A 16,779-nucleotide genomic window follows, 5' to 3' on the forward strand; every position below is an offset into this window, starting at 1 on the left:
CTGTGTAACTGGGACTACAGGTACACGCCACCATGCCTGGCTAATTTTTGTATTTTTTGTAGTGATGGGGTTTTGCCATATTGCCCAGGCTGGTCTCAGACTCCTGGGCTCAAGTGATCCTCCCACCTCAGCCTCCCAAAATGCTGGGATTCCATGGGTGAGCCACTGTGAATTCACTGCCTTGAGTAATCTGTTTCTTAAAGGCTTTTGTTAAAACTTGTTAGAAATTATCTGTACAACTTGGGTGTGTATGTGTGTGTGTGTGTATCTGTCTTGACTACTAATGCAGCATATTTAATAACATAGGATCACTTCAGATTTCCTAGCTTTCATTTATTGAATTACAGTACTTTTGATTACTTATATTTATCTGGAATATAGTTCACATTCTCTGTTTTTAAGTTTATTGCCATAAAGTTGTTTTTAGCATTCTCTTACTGTTTTTTGTTTGTTTGCTTTTGTTTTTGTTTTTGTTTTGTAGAGACAGGGTCTCCCTAAGTTGCCCAGGCTGGTCTATAACTCCTGGGCTCAAGTGATCCTCCTGCCTGGGCCTCCCAAAGTACTGAAACTATAGGCATTAGCTACCTCTCCCAGCCTCAGAAGCTTTTCTACACCCTTCCTAGGGGAATGGGGAGATAAGTAGGGGTCACTTAGGGAGTAAATGATTATGAAAAGGGGCATGGGCTTTTGCAAAAATAGGCAGTAGCCTGTCCGGACCAGGTGCCAAGTTCCAGCCTCTTCTAGGTTTGACTCCTGTTGCCTGTTAACCTCCCCTGATAGATTAAAAAAAAGAAAAAAAAAAAAAAACCTAGAGAGGGTTTTCATGACAATTGGCTTCCTTCTGGAGAATCTGCATTTCACTGGATAAGGGAGATTCAGGAAAAGCCCCTCTGCATTTGCTATTTCCCAAATGCCTTCAGCTTGAAGTAACCAGCAAACCAATTCAGCATATTTGGGCTGGTATTTCCTGGACTCGTGTCTATGAGGCAGTGCTTCTTCAGGTGCTGTTCAAGTCTTACTAAATTTATGTCCATTAGATCTATCCATTTCTGCTTCTGGTTGTGAGTTTATCAATTACTTCTGTAATTCTAATAATTTTATTGTTTATTTCAGATGTCTGCAATTTGAGAAATATTTTTCTGATAAAATGTTCTTTTTATCATTAGATAATGATCTTCTTTATCCTGAGAATGTTTTTGCCCTAGTTTCTATCTTGTTTGATATTAATTAATTCAGTCACTCACTCAGCAATACCTGTTGAGAATTTTTTTTTTTTCTGAGCAGAGTTTCGCTCTTGTTGCCCAGGCTGGAGTGCAGTGGCATGATCTCAGCTCACTGCAACCTCCGCCTCCTAGGTTCAAGCGATTCTCTTGCCTCAGCCTCCCCAGTAGCTGGGATTACAGGCATGCACCACCACGCCTGGCTTATTTTGTATTTTTAGTAGAGATTTCTCCTACATGGGGTTTCTCCATGTTGGTCAGGCTGGTCTTGAACTCCCAACCTCAGGTAAGCTGCCTGTTTGGCCTCCCAAAGTGCTGGGATTACAGGCATGAACCACCACACAAGGCCTATTTTTTTTTTTTTTTTAAGACAGGGTCTCTCTCTGTTACCCAGGCTGGAGTACAGTGGTGAGATCACGGCAACCTTCACCTCCTGGGCTCACATGATCTCCCTGCCTCAGCCTTCTGAGTAGCTGAGACTACAGGCAGGCACCACCAAGCCTGGCTGAATTATTTATTTATTTATTAATTATGAGATGGAGTCTTGCTGTGTTACTCAGGCTGGTCTCAAACTCCTGACCTCAAGTGATTCTACTGCCTTGGCCTCCCAAAGTGCTGGGATTAGGCGTGAGCCACCATGTCCAGCCAAGAACCTGTTCTATGCCAGTCACATCAAGAAACAAAACAGGCATCACCTGACAATATATATATATATTTTTTGGAGACGGAGTTTTGCTCTTGTTGCCCAGGCTGGAGTGCAGTGGTGCTATCTCAGCTCACTGCAACCTCCACCTCCTGGGTTCAAGCGATTCTCCTGCCTCAGCCTCCCTAGTAGCTTGGATTACAGGTGCCCGCCACCACACCCAGCTAATTTTTTGTATTTTTAGTAGAGATGGGGTTTCACTACGTTGGCCAGGCTGGTCTCAAACTCCTGACCTCAGACAAGCCACCCACCTCAGCCCCACAAAGTGCTGGGATTACAGGCATGAGCCACTGCACCTGGCTTGACAGTATCTTTTTATTTTAATCACCTTTTTATTTTTTACTTTCAACCATTCTGTGTCCTTCTGTTTTAGGTGTATCTTTTATAAACAGTATTAAATTGAAACTTTTTTTTTCTTTAAATGTAATCTTGGTCTTTTAGCAGGGATATTTAATCTGTTCACATTTGTTGTGATTGCTAATGTAATCAAATTTGGTTTTACTACCATATGTTACTAATTTTATATACTATGCTGTTTACTTACTGTATTTCCCCTTTTCCTGCTTTTCATTGTACTTAGTTCTCTTTATTTTTTTTAAGTTTTATTTATTTTATTATAGTTTTCTTATTTATTCTACTTTGCTTATTTCTTCCTATTGATTTAGAAATTATACATTCTATTTTTTCTTTTGGTGATTACATTTAAAATTTAATATGCATATTTTATTTGAGTCTAAAGTTAATGGATATTTCTCTGCTCTCCTTCTGATCAAAATGCCTCGGAATATTTTGGCTCTGATATTCACTCCCAGTCTTTCGTATTCCCTGTGTAGCATGTTATCAGAGTCTAGTACTTAACTTTTTGGTTCATTTTTTTTTCAGTACTTTGTTTTAAATGAGACAACATTATAATTGATATTGCTGGCTCATTTAGATTTACTTACATGTTTACTCTCTGCTCACCATCGCTCCTTTGGATCCCACTCTTTTCTTTTGGATTGAGTCTTTTTATCCTGAAATATACCATTGGTCACTTCTCTCAGTAAAGGTCTAACAATAGTAACTTTCTTCAGCCTTTGTATGGAGAACGTGTTTATTTTGCCCTTCCTCTTGGATGATTGCTTAGTTGCGTTCAAGGCTAAAAGCTATATTCTCTCAATACTTTGAAAATACTATTCCATTAATTTTTGGTTGATTTTGCTGCTTAGTAACATTCTGCTGTGAAGAAAAATTGTTCTTTTTTCATGGGTAATCTGTCTTTTCTCTCTATGTGTTCTATAGTTTCACTATTATGTGTTAGGTGTTGATTTGTGATTGTTTATCTGGCTCCTGACTGTGCTGTTCAATCTGAGAATGTAAATGCTTCTTTCCATTCTGAAAACATCTCAGTCATAAGTCCTCATTCTTTCTATTCTCTCATTAGCATTTGTTGTAAGGTCTCATGTTCCCTCGTTTCTTAACATCTTCCATCTCCTACTTCTCTGTGCCATGTCCTGTATGATTTCCCCGCATCCATTCTGTAGTTCCCTAATTCTTTTTTTTTTTTTTTCTTTTTGAAATGGAGTTTCACTCTTGCCGCCCAGGCTGGAGTGCAGTGATGTGATATCTGCCCACTGCAACCTCCACCTCCCAGGTTCAAGCGATTCTCCTGCTTAAGCCTCCTGAGTAGCTGGGATTACAGGCACCCACCACCACGCCTGGCTAATTTTCTGTATTTTTAGTAGAGACGGGGTTTCACCATGTTGGCTAGGCTGATCTCGAACTTTGACCGCAAGTGATCCACCCGCCTCAGCCTCCCAAAGTGCTGGGATTACAGGTGTGAGCCATGACTCCCGGCCCCTAATTCTTTTATTGGCCATATGTAATCTAATTTACTTACTATTTCAGTGACTCTGTTTTTTTCCTTCTAAATCTGCTGTTTGGTTCTCTTTCAAATTAATTTTTCTTTTTTTATTTTCTTTTTTTAAATATATATATATATTTTTATTACACTTTAAGTTCTAGGGTACATGTGCACAACGTGCAGGTTTGTAACATATGTATGCATATGCCATGTTGGTGTGCTGCACCCATTAACTCGTCATTTACATTAGTTATATCTCCTAATGCTGTCCCTCCCCCCTCCCCCTCTAATTTTTATTTTCAATCGTGTCCTATTCTTTCAATGGTTACTGTTCTTGTGTCACTTTAATAGCTCTAAACACATATATCAGATTCTTTTTTAGGTTGTCACTTGTTTCCAGTTCCCAGGTACCCATTGGCCCGCATGTTGTACTTGCTGACCCTTGGCGTGGTAGGTTAGTTCCTGGCCTGGTTGGAATTTTTTATTGTGAGCTCATCTTCAGCAGGGGTTATTTTTGCCTCTGGGAGTCCAGGGGCCCTGGATTGTGGAGATGTTTCTGGAGCACTGCTTTACCTTTTTCTTCTGCAAACCAAGGCTCAGTTATTTTAGGGTCTTGAACAAGTTTTAATTTTTAATTTCTCTATTTGTGATTTCCAACCCATCTGGGTGGTATCAACTTAATCCCTGCATTTGCTCTTAGCACAGGCTCCTGATTCAGATGATTCATACAAAAGCTTTTAGTTACTTTTCAGAGCTCAAGCCAGACCTCAGGCCTCCTTCCTGTTTCTTTGGTGAGCATGGTTCTTCCAGTTCCCTTTTCATGGACTGGCTAGCTTCTTAAGGGGTCTGGTTTGGTCCAGTTTCCCCCTCATCTTGCACAGTCCTGGCTGGTGTCTTCTTTCCCCAGGGGTGTTGACACTCTGACCCCTACTTATTGTTTCAAGGGCTGACAGCCCTCGGTGGATACATCAGCTTGGAGGTTTCCTCCCAGCCCTGGAGATTTGCTTTGTTTCTGGCACTTGGGAATCTCTCTTTCCTCTTTCTATCAAGCTGAGCTACGCATGAAACCTTTTTTTTTTTTAAGTTGCTTTAGATTTTCCAATAGCTGTGTGTAATTTCAGCAGGAGTGGGTCCGCATCAACTCAGCCTGCCACAAACCTTATTCATCTTTGTACTCTCCAACCCAGAACAGTCACTGGTTCATACCAGATGCTGGATGAATGAATGAGTGAATGAATGAATGCATTTTTCACTTCCAGTAGCAGATAGAAGCAGTATTCCAGTGAGCCATGCCTCCTACCTCTCCAGGAGCACTGAATCAGGCAGAATTCACTTTTCTTTGAGGTTATACGTAGAGAGTTCCCAGTGAAAAAATGAAAAGAGAATAGGGCTTCTTCTATGCTTTTGTTTTAAGTCCCAGAACAATAGGACTGTTTAACTGCTTTGCACTGCTTGATATATGAAGGTGGACTGACGACTGAGTTCCCATGCCGCTTGCTGGTGGCTTCACACAGCATCATTACCAAGAGGACAGGACACTAGGACTGTTTACTTCCCCCTTTCTCCCCTGTTTTAAGAAAAGTGTGCCTTTGATGAGATATAGCCGCAGGCTCTTGTTTTACATTGTACGTCAACTGCTGTTGTCAGAGGCTGGTTATTGATGCCATGCCCTGTTTTAATTCACACTTCTCTGCTAATCAATTACAGCGTTTATCCATTAATCAGGCATTCTGACAGGGTCAATAACTGCTTTTTGGCTCTTGTGCAGGGCTGCACGTTATCAAGCCAGGAATAAGGCCCAGGAGCTGGCTTTAAAACACCGTGTGACTTTCCCAGGCTGGTGGACTTCCGGAGCAATAAACATCTAGTGGGGATTTCATATGGTGGGTTTTTCATATATTTGGTAGATGGGATTTTCTCACTGAACACTTCATTAACAGGGCTCAACGTTAGTGAAGTGTGGACAGGTGTGCTCTGTTTAAGAAAAACAGAAACATCAAAAGGTAATTATTGCCATCACATACCAATGACTGCATTTACCTAAAAGTAGCATTAAATTATGAGCTTTCTTCTTTTATATTAAATGTTTACAAACAGTATCTTCTTGGCAGTAGGGTTTGAGAGCAACGACTCTTAAAGCCAAAATGTTGGAGCTGCTGCTGGATGAAAACCAATCTGAAATTTAGATTAAATAGGGCTGTAATCGTAATGTGAGTCAAGAGGAAAATCCGTAGTTTCTCTCTGGAAATTTCTTGAGGCCCATCTTTTCCGTGGAGTGTTTTAAACCTTCGTATCCATGTTCCCATCCATGGGCACACGGGCATCTTCAGTGCCCCTTAGTCTCTCTATAAGAATTTGTTACAGCATATTCAGATGTGGTAAATTGTCACAGAAATGAAAACTTTTCATTTTAGTAAGGATAAGTAAGAAACAGAGGTGACAAGGTTTAACTGGAGAGTTCCAGTTTGGGTAGGTAAGTTACCATTCATCATGATGGTTACAGGTTTCAGTGATCTTTTTTGTGACAGATGTACCAACATTTAATTGTTTTTCATCAAGGGCGGAGAGAAAAGACACTTGTGTAGATTTTTCAATTCTCCTCCGTGTCACTTGGCTGTCCTCACCATTGTCTGAGCTCCTTTCTCTTATCCTTTTTGCTGCAATGAGTTGTGTCATTCCCTCATGGTCAGCACTTTTGTTGTCTTTGTTTTTTGCTGTACCTCAGAAGTCCATCTTTTCTTTCATCTCTTTCCCATTCATGCATGAGGGAACAGTTGTGCCCTGTTGTGGGGATGTTCCGCTGGGTTTCAAACAGTAGGGTTTCTTTTTATTCTCTTCTAAGTAGTACAATGGGGCTGAATGTCTGTTGCAGAATGCACACACTAATATGCCAGGTTATTTGGTTTCTAAGAAGTCAATAAAAATACTACATTTAGGCTCAGTCTTTGGCTTGATTTTCCCCTATTTGCCTTTCAAGCCTTCCGTTATGAATCTGTTTGTTTCTGATTGTAAAATATAATCTTGCATATTAAACCGAAGCGTGGAATCAACAAACACTTTGAGGAAAATGTTCCTGGCGGTGGAGTATTTTCACACCAGGCAGGGTTGGCAGCCGGCACCCTCCCTTGATAAGAGCCTGGAAACAGCCCCCAGAGCAATTAATGGCAGCTCCGACTTGGAGAAGATGAAAAAAAAAAAAAGAATGGATCCCAAGTTGGTCTTGGCAAAACTTTCTGGTGTAAGAAACCAGCTCCTCTCTGCATTTAGAGGGTACAGCTGTGATTGTTTTCGTGCAGACTTCTCACTCAGTTCTTGTTTTGGTGGGGAGTTGAGCACGAGCAGAACGCACCGAGTTACACACACAGACGCAAAGGCCATTGCAGCAGCAAAAGGCTAAAGACATAAAAAGTTAGAGATGTCTTAGGACACTTTGTTCTTATATTCAGGAACAATCTTCAAAATCCTCCTTAATGAGGTCATAAAAGAAAAAAATGGAACAAGTGTTCCTTGTGTACCTCTCTAGGGCGTGTCGTTGGGGTCACTTGCCACCAGTATCCTATTTAAAAAGGGATTGGGGTAGTTCAATCAAGCATTGCATTAAGAGAGAGACTTTGATTAATTCCTTCTCTTTTCTTTTGTGCTATAGATAATTTCAGTCAATTTGTGATACTTTCTTCTTAGCCATTGCTGAGGCTGAAAGTTCTTGATGCGTCCTGCTGAGTATTAGCATTTCTCGGGCCTACTTGGCTATGGGGAAGAGGCACGCACTGCAGACAGCTCTCTAAGCCTTGACAAGCAGGGCTGGCCTCTACACATGACCGTGATCTGGGATATCGGTTTAGGAAAGAGCCCGCTCTCAGGTTGCTGGCAGAAAACAAATCTTGATGTAAAAGAAGAGAAGACCGAACAGTAAGATGGTGACTTGCTGTGGTAATACCGTGCGGTTTTTTTAAGGTTCTGGACCTGCTTCTTACTCAGAAGCTCACAGCTTGGGTAAGTTTCAGGAACTGCTCTCAAGGGGAACAAAAGAAAAGGAAAAGTGAGGGCTAACAATGTGAGCTTTCACTGGGGCTGTTGTGGGAAAGTTGAAGATTGGCCCCAGGATGGTCAGGATCAGGTAGAAAACTGGATTCTATTGTCATTTGTTTTCTTTTATTGACCAGCTTTCTTGTTTGTGGAGAGGGCAGCAGAGAGATGAAGGGACATTCTAGTACTATGCTGTAGAAACTCAGTGGGAAATGTTAACTGTTTTGATGTTAGGATATATCTAAAATGCTTAGTTAAACTGAGTCCCATACCTGTTGTATTTTATAAGCTCATTTTGGAAAATGTACGTAATGTTTATTTATTGTAAATGCAAGGTCTGTTCGGTATCCGTACATTTCCACGCCGCTGAAAGGGTGGATTTGGTTCTGATGGACTGGAACGGCTCCCGGGGAGGCATTGTGGTGTTTGCGTAAATCCCCTTTCCTTTTTGGTTTACTCATTTGATGCAGGAGGGTCGGTTCTTGGGCTGTTGCTTTCTCTCCTGTTAATCCAGCTACTGCACATGCGCACGAAGGCAACAGGTTAAAAGTCCTAATTTAAGATAGCTTTGGGTATGGAGAGATAAAATCCCTTTTTCTCCAGTTGAAGCATCTGTTTTTCAGTTGAGTGTAGATGGGTTGATTTTCATGAATGTATACATCTAATATGTTTATGTAAACACATTAAGGCAAGATTTCAGAATTAATTTCAGAGTATGTTTTATGATAATTACTGCTATTCTGCCAAAAGTTTAATAGCCAATCATAAGAATTTTCTTAAATTATTATTTTCAAATTAATAAGGTGTTAGACTTCTCATTTGTTCTTTCTGGTACTGTTTTGAGATTAAGAACTCAAAGATGAACTCATTCATTCATCAAATATTATTTATTAAACTCTTCCTCCATGCCAGGCTCATTGTCATAATTATCATTGTAATTAGTCTGTAACTTATATTTACAATGATTATGTAAATAGCGGAAACACCTAACTATCCTGCTTCTTGGTAATCAGGTTTAACTCTCCATGGGGTCGGTGTGTTCTTTCTGAAGCATGTCTTTGAATAGATTACTCGGGCCTTCCCCTAGTTCTTGGAATGCTAACTGAAATTGTGTGATTGATAGATTTCCCCAGACTTAAAACTGGAGAGATCCATGGGGGCAGAGTGGTTCCATGGAGGCAGAGTGGTGTCATGGAGAGGACACAGGCTGTCGTCATTTACTTTTCCTGCCCTGAAAAGGGAAGAGCCAGCAGCTCAGGGGTCGGTGTGAGACTTAAACTCTGAATAATGTAAAGCGGCTGGCACAGGCCTGGCCCTCAGTGCGTCCCCCCATGAGCGCCCCTCCCCCGCCCCTTATCCCTAAGGCAGTAGTGTCTGTAGGGCCTCAGGCACCTACATTCTCATTTCCTTCATGTATGCAGAGGGCCAGGGAAGTTACCTGGTTACCACTTGCTCTGTGCCACAAAAAAGGCGTGCAAGGATGTACATCAGAACCTGGTTTTGACTGGGCACAGTGACTCACGCCTGTAATCCCATCACTTTGGGAGGCTGAGGCGGGCAGATCACCTGAGGTCAGGAGTTCGAGACCAGCCTGGACAACTTGGTGAAACCCCATCTCTACTCAAAGTTCAAAAATTAGACAGGCATGGTGTCACACGCCTGAAATCCCAACTACTCGGGAGGCTGAGGCAGGTGAATCACTTGAACCTGGGAGGCGGAGGTTGCAGTGAGCCGAGATAATGCCACTGCACTCCAGCCTGGGTGACAGAGTAAGACTTCATCTCAAAAAAAAAAAAAAACTTTGTTTCTGTGCACAATACCTCAAAGACTTGTTAGGCCTGGGGAATAGACCTGCCTCATTTGCTTGTTTGAAGCCTAATTGCAGGTATTTCTAATACTTCCTACAGTGGATTTCTCTCGTCTTCCAAATGTTGCTTTTCCACAGAATTGGCGTGGTAATTGCTGAGAAGAAAGAACTTCCTTAACTGAATCAAGCCTGCCTCCACCTCTTTTCTAGGATTGCAGGTTCCTTTTCAGATAAAGGTCTCAAAAGGGCAGGCAGGGCAGAAGGTCTTCTCATAAAATCCGAGGATTGTGGTCCTCTGGGTGCTTCATCTGCTGCAACCAAGTAGAAAAAAAGGAATAAACACAAACACATTTCACTCTGCCTCCAACAAACCTCCTTCAGGTCAGATCTAGTATCCAAGAAGTAACAAAAATAGTCCATCTAGCAAATGAGCCATTTTCTTTGAGAGACAGGCAAGCAAGACACCTGGGTTTGTCTAGATATAATTAGTTATTTCTCCCGTGGCCAGTATGGGAGTAAACACTATGCAGTAAACACCAGCTGAAGAACATTGTCCTGTCTATCTCAGGACAGGGAATGATAGATACCTTTTGGTCTCTACTTAAAGACAGTATTGCCGGGTGCGGTGGCTCATGCATGTAGTCCCAGTACTTTGAGAGGCCGAGGTGGGCGGATCACTTGAGGCCAGGAGTTTCAGACCAGCCTGGCCAACATGGTGAAATCCTGTCTCTACTAAAAATACAAAAATTAGCCAGGCATGGCGGTGGGCTTCTGTAATCCCAGCTGCTCAAGAGACTGAGGCAGGAGAATTGCTTGAACCTGGGAGGCAGAGGTTGCAGTGAGCAGAGATCATGCCACTGCATGTCAGCCTGGGCAACAGAGCAAAACTGTCTCAAAAAATAAAAATATAGACAATATTAGTATTAATATTACAGATCCCATTATATTTCTTTTCATGAGTTTTGTGAGGGTATTCCCCAAAGCTCTGTGTTTTGGTGGGGGGGATTACAGGTGTGAGCCACCATACTGGCCCCCTCCCCCAATAAATATAAACTGGGTACTTATTAATACTTAATATACATATGTTTCTTTTCTTTTCTTTTTTTTTTTTTTTTGAGATGGAGTCTCACTCTTTTGCCCAGGCTGGAGTGCAGTGGCACGATTTCGGCTCACTGCAACCTCCGTCTCCTGGGTTCAAGCGATTATCCTGCCTCAGCCTCCCGAGTAGCAGAGACTACGGGTGTGTGCCACCACATCCGGCTAATTTTTTGTATTTTTAGTAGAGATGGGGTTTCACTGTGTTAGCCAGGATGTTCTCGATCTCCTGACCTCATGATCCGCCTCCCTCGGCCTCCCAGAGTGCTGGGATTACAGGTATGAGCCAACTTCTTTTTTTTTTTTTCTTTTTAATAGAGACAGGGTCTCACTGTGTTACCCAGGCTGAAGTGCAGTGGTGCAATCACGCCTCACTGCAGCCTCAACCTCCAGGGCTCAAGCAGTCCTCGCACGTAGCTGGGACCACAGTTGTGCACCACCATGCCTGGCTACTGTGTGCTTTTTTGTTTTGTTTTGTTTTGTTTTTGTAGAGATGGAGTCTCATTATGTTGCCCAGGCTGGTCTCAAACTCCTGGGCTCAAAGAAGCCTCCCACCTCAGCCTCCCAAAGTTCTGGGATTAGAGGCATGAGCCACCATGCCCAGCCCCACCCCAGTAAATATAAACTGGGTCCTTCCTTAATACCTTAAAGACAGCAATTTTCGACATATTCAAGACAGTTGTTCCTTCTGCTTTGGAATGCTGAGAGCTTCTTTCCTCATAATTGTGTTCTAGAAGTTCTGCAGGGCCTTGCTATGGGAACCAGAGAAAGCAGAATGGCCAGGGCCATCCAATTGTCTCCTTCCCAGAGATCAGGATGAAGGGCTGTGTTAAAAGATCTCTCTCATCTTCAGCTGGAAACAAATAGTACTGAAAAGAATGATCTGGACTGTTTCTCTTGTCTTTTAAAAGTGTGAGGCCTAAAGAGGGGAGAGAGTATCTTTGTGCTGTGTTATGCCTGACACATTGTCGGTGACCAACAGATGTACTTGGCCATTTATATGGGGATAACATACATGTGATCTTAGCCAAAAGGCCCTCCAAACCTTCCTTCAGCAGCCCTTTAGATTGGGCTCCTTTGTCAGTCATCTGCTTGAGTATCAGCTATGCTGAAGGAAAAGACATAGGGAATGGTGGTTGGAGGTGGTGGCAGCCAGAGATAAATGTATCTCTGAGGCATGGTTTCATCTGGTCAGTAAGATGTGTGCCTTTGGATCTGCTTCGGGCTAAATATCTTAGGGGTTTGGTGGGCTTTAGAAGTGTGTGTAAATGGGAGGCGGGAAAGTGAGGCCGGAGACTCATCATCACTGCTCTCCACCCTCCAGAGGGGACTGCGGAAAGCGCAGCCAGCCATCGGCCTGTTGACAAGGCACTGGCAGTCACTGAAAAATTCTTTTCCTTTCTCTGTCAATTAGCAAATGATGGTCTTCTACTGATAAAGTTTAGGAATAAAGGAGAAAGAGGAAGATGGAATCCTGGACCACTTTCAGCCTGCACTTGAGTATTCCTTATGTGTTCTCCTGACTCCCTGGTGCCACTACCCCCTGCCACCGTCGGCCCTGTGGCAGTGGGGCCCTTCCCCCCGCCAGCCTCGGCACCGCTTCAGTGTGGCTGGTGCCTCCACCACCATTGGTACTGTGTCAGCATTGCTGGTGCACCTGCCACCGTCGGTCCCTCATCAGCATTGCCCATGCCCCCACCACCGTCAGTCCCTCATCAGCATTGCCGGTGCCCCCCTACCACCGTTGGTCCCACATCAGCGTGGCCGGTGCCTCCACCACCGTTGGCCCCACGTCAGCGTGGCCAGTGCTGCGACCCAGTTGCTGGCTGGAGGATGGCTGGCCACTGTTGGAGCTGCTGATCTTTCCAAGGCCTTGTCACAGTGGCCATAGATCTCAAGGTGCACCCAGGACACTCAGGAAACCAGCCTCTTGGTTAGGCAGCTGAGGCCTCACTTTTCTGCATCCATGTACTCCTTTGGTATCTGGATCTTCCTTTTAAACTTTGACTAACACGTGTGGCAGAACCAATCACCACCACAGCCTGCAAGTGCACTGAGGACCTGTCAGGCCCAGGGGAGGTGCAGCACGCTCATGGGGGCAGCCCAGCACTGCCCAGGTGGCTGGAGCGAGTCACGGGGAGAGCAGAAAGCTTTGGGCGTCCTGGCTGACTGGCCTCTTAGTGAGAATACAGAACAGCTCCTGGCAGCACTTTCCCTTCCAGCTTTCCTCAAGACAGGCCATGCCAGGCGAAGAGGAAGGGCAAGGTGGCTCCCTCCGGGTATGGAGATGGGGTGAGCCTGGGGACAGTGGAGCCTCTGAGCAGAGGACTCCAGAGGCTCAGGGAGCAGCAGAGCCGCCCAAGATGATAGACAGGAGCTGAAGGCCAGAGGGGACCACGCCTGGAGTCTTGGCGGGAGGAGCATGGACACAGGACCAGGGAGGGAGCCCCAGAGGCAGTGCCGACCATCCTGCTAAACACACGGAACGGCCTCCCCATTCTTTCCCCTAAAGAGTAGGGGCTTGGGCCAGGCACGGTGGCTCACGCCTGTAATCCTAGCACTTTGGGAGGCCGAGGCAGGTGGATCACCTGAGGTCAGGAGTTTGAGACCAGCCTGGACAACATGGTGAAACCCCTTCTCTACTAAAAATACAAAAATTAGCTGGGCGTGGTGGCAGATGCCTGTAGTCCCAGCAACTCAGGAGGCTGAGGCAGGAGAATCACTTGAGCCCCGGGGGCTGAGGTTGCTGTGAGCCGAGATCGTGCCACTGCGCTCCAGCCTGGGTGACAGAGTGAGACTCTGTTTCAAAAAAAAAAAAAAAAAAAAAAAAGGCGGGGGCTTGGAGAGGAGAGGAGGGGTCCTGGTTTTGTTGTACTTTGTTAATATAGACCAGATTTCGGCAGATTGCACTGTATAAAGAAAAATAAACATGGACAGAAAAGTTGTATGGTCAAAATTGAAGTAGCAAAGCCTTCTTTAAAAGTTGAAATTACTTTTGTTTCTTTACTAAAGCACAAAGTCTAGTTGCAGAATATATGTCTATCTTAGCCTGCTTTAAGAAAAAAAAAAAAAAGCGGCTGAGCCCAGGGGCTCATACCTGTAATCCCAGCACTTTGGGAGGCCATGGTGGGAGGATTACTTGAGGCCAGGAGTTTGAGATCAGCCTAAGTAACATAGCAAGACTCTGTCTCTACAAAAATAAATAAAAGACTGCAGCTGCTTATATTAAAAAAAAAAAAAAGGCCAAAGAATGCCTCAAAGCATTGAAATAAAACTTACTGATGGTTTCACCAGCAGAACAGAGACATTGGCCACTGTTTAAGCTGTGCTAGATGATAAAGAAGGCCATACATTAGTTTCAAAGTCAGAGTAGACAGAGGCGGAGGGTAGATAGGTGTTAGCAGGATGGCTCTCACGGACGTGCTGGGGCCACATGGACAGTGGACCCCTGGATGGGGAGGGAGGAAGGAAGGGCCTCGGACATCTCCTGATGTGAAGAATCCTGTGTTCTCAATTTTAACCTCTTTGTTTCTAGCCAAGAAGTAAACTGAATAACATACTCCACACCAGAATGGTTTCACTTAGCTTTCGTATCTCAGGAACTGGGCTTCAGTTCTGCAGTGAGAACTGTCCTTTAATTGCTTCTCCCCTGGAGGCTGATGTGGTGACATACTTTGGAGCACAGGGCATACAGGCATCCCTGCACGAACGGTACCAGGGGCTTGGGATGGCTGCAGCACATTCTGCTGGGGCTTTGTTTTCCTTGGGGCTATGTTTGTTTTTTCTTTTTCCCTTCTTTCTTACTGTTTCTTTTTTCTGGATGCATTATGTTCTTTAAAGACTAGTGATTTTCCACACCAAATTATTTTAGAAATTTCAGCATTATATGGCAGTTTTTTTTTTTTTTTTTTTTTTGAGACAGGGTCTTACCTTGTCACCTTGTCACCTATACTGGAGTGCAGTGGCACAAACACGATTCACTGCAGCCTCAACCTCCCCGGGCCCAAGCCATCAGTCTTCCACCTCAGCGTCCCCCACCAACAAGTAGCTGGGACCACAGGCACATCCCACCACACCCGGCTAAGTTTTGTATATTTCGTAGAGATGGGGTCTCAGCATGATGCCCAGGCTGGTCTCAAACTCCTAGGCTCAGGCAATCCTCCCTCCTTAGCCACTTACAGGTGTGAGCCACTGTGCCTGGCCTATTTTAAAGGTGTTTTTTCTTTCTTTGGTTTCGGAGAGAAATCAGTTTCCTGTGTATCTTAAGCTGTGTGGATAGGGGGATTGTGATAATGGGTCATTATTTTATAATTTTGCTATTTTAAATGAGTTTTAAAACCTGTAGCCAGTTTCTGATCTCAGGGAACATACCTATTAACTCAAGGTGTTACAAATATCTTGACAGCTTAAAAATTGAGTTAAGATATGAAAATAAGATATGAAAATATGAAAATACTGTGCTGTAATACAAGAGGCATTCATTACCTTTTCCCTGCCCATCAGTCTCGACAGGATAACTTTACACTTGACCCAAAGATATTTAAAAATACATCCGCTTTCTTTGAAACTTCTGTGTCAGTGTTTTTCATTTGAATGATTAACAGAAGCACATTGGTTTGTAGGTAAATAGTAAATAGGTAATTCTACTTGTTTTTCTAATTTTTAAAATGCTTTACAAATAATTATTAATGATACTGTATGATTAAGGAAAGGGAATTTGTATGAAGCTAATTTGAAGGTAATTGGCTTTTGCATTTATTTATTCATGTATATATTTAATTCGCATCTGTTATGTGTCAAGTATAGTGCAGGAGTCAGCAGAAAAAGTAATTCCTAAAATCATGGCTCTTGAAATCAGTTATTTGTCTTTGTTTTTCCTCCTCAAAGATTACTCCCTGTTCAGTCTTGTTAATGTGATCAGAGATTTATATTAACTTTTAAGATCTCATAATCCCAATAATGTAAGATATAGTAGAGATGAGTAGAGAACAGAACTTAAAAAAAAAAACAAACTGTAATTACTAGGAAATTGACTCTACCAGGGAAATTAACAGACTTGTCCAAAATTGTCCCTGTAGACAGAGAGGGCTGGTAAGGCTGGAATGAACCCGTCGTAATTTGAATGCTTAAAACTTTTTCCATTTTATTGTCAAAATTATTGCCTGAACTTCCTTTTTCTCCTCATTTGCCTATTTCCCTTGCTTTTTATCTTGTGCACCACCAGTATACAACATAGTGGTGTTTAACTACTTCCTGAAGGCATTATTAGTCATCAGGAACACCAGGTCATTATCGAAGTAGATAAATGGGCATTCCGCCCATCGACTACCCCTTGGACTAATTTGGAAAATATGGTTCCTTCCCTCAGAAGAAACAGCCCATGCTCCTCTGGACACTTATAAAATAGCCATGCGCACGTCTCTGTTCCTTCTGAACAACTGGAATTAATGTGTCCTGCTTGATGCTAAACTGGAGTTTAATTCACAATGGCAAGGACGCTTCACCTAGAATATCTGTCCATGTGAAAGGTGGGGAGCAGTGCAGCTTCCATCTCCCTGTCTGTTTTTTGGTGGGCTTTCAGCTTTTCTGTCCCATGACTGTTAGTGACTGCAGCGTAACCCCAAATCTTTCACCAGATGTTGTCTCACCATCTTAAGGAAAGAAGAAAGTTCTAATGGATGTTTTGAATGTGCTCGACTTTTATTTTGTTCAGACCCAAACTGAATGAGGCAGAGGTTAAAATCTTTTCTTGTTCCATCTGAGTAAGCACGAAAACCTATGATCCTTAATCTTTTAGAAGAAAAATAACCCTTCTCTGTTAGTGGGATTTCTGATTCATTTCTTCTGCCCTGCTCCCCTGCTCTGCATTTTTTTAGTCAAATACTGTCTGGACTTTTGTGAGCCAATAACCTCCCTCCTCACCTCATTCCCCTCTCTTCCCCTCCCCTGTGATCACACAAAGAGCAGAGAGCCCTCAAAAGCCTGGGTTTCTGGGTTTTGTATTTTAAAGAGAGGATGAAATACTTGCTGTACTTCAAAACATAAAACCGATCTGTTAAAACTTTCCCAAAAGAAACTGATTGGC

General features: G+C 43.3%; 1 protein-coding gene and 1 long non-coding RNA gene across 13 annotated transcripts in view, besides 2 other annotated features; one reads left to right on the plus strand and one right to left on the minus strand.

Annotated features, from left to right (window-relative positions):
* Positions 1 to 16,779, plus strand: part of CLYBL (citramalyl-CoA lyase) — a 302,755-nt gene that overhangs the window by 110,893 nt on the left and 175,083 nt on the right. The window lies entirely within an intron of this gene.
* Positions 8,086 to 11,419, minus strand: CLYBL-AS1 (CLYBL antisense RNA 1). Of its 3 annotated transcripts, none has more exons than NR_120383.1 (3): positions 11,339 to 11,419; positions 9,648 to 9,910; positions 8,086 to 8,453 (listed from the first exon to the last, which is right to left on the minus strand). It is a non-coding gene; the product is annotated as a CLYBL antisense RNA 1 (long non-coding RNA). The 3 variants fall into 3 exon arrangements; NR_120384.1 differs by lacking the exon at positions 8,086 to 8,453 and adding an exon at positions 8,661 to 9,023 and having other exon boundaries at positions 9,648 to 9,907; NR_046525.1 differs by lacking the exon at positions 8,086 to 8,453 and adding an exon at positions 8,661 to 9,023.
* Positions 11,844 to 12,761: an enhancer, noted in NCBI's record as "H3K27ac-H3K4me1 hESC enhancer chr13:100381680-100382597 (GRCh37/hg19 assembly coordinates)". NCBI's record gives its function as "activates a minimal SCP1, AML or CMV promoter by ChIP-STARR-seq in naive H9 embryonic stem cells {active_cell/tissue: H9 hESC(naive)}" and the evidence as "EXISTENCE:reporter gene assay evidence [ECO:0000049][PMID:30033119]".
* Positions 12,762 to 13,678: an enhancer, noted in NCBI's record as "H3K27ac-H3K4me1 hESC enhancer chr13:100382598-100383514 (GRCh37/hg19 assembly coordinates)". NCBI's record gives its function as "activates a minimal SCP1, AML or CMV promoter by ChIP-STARR-seq in primed H9 embryonic stem cells {active_cell/tissue: H9 hESC(primed)}" and the evidence as "EXISTENCE:reporter gene assay evidence [ECO:0000049][PMID:30033119]".

This window comes from Homo sapiens, chromosome 13 (assembly GCF_000001405.40).
Source record: "Homo sapiens chromosome 13, GRCh38.p14 Primary Assembly".
Classification (NCBI taxonomy): Eukaryota; Metazoa; Chordata; class Mammalia; order Primates; family Hominidae; genus Homo; species Homo sapiens.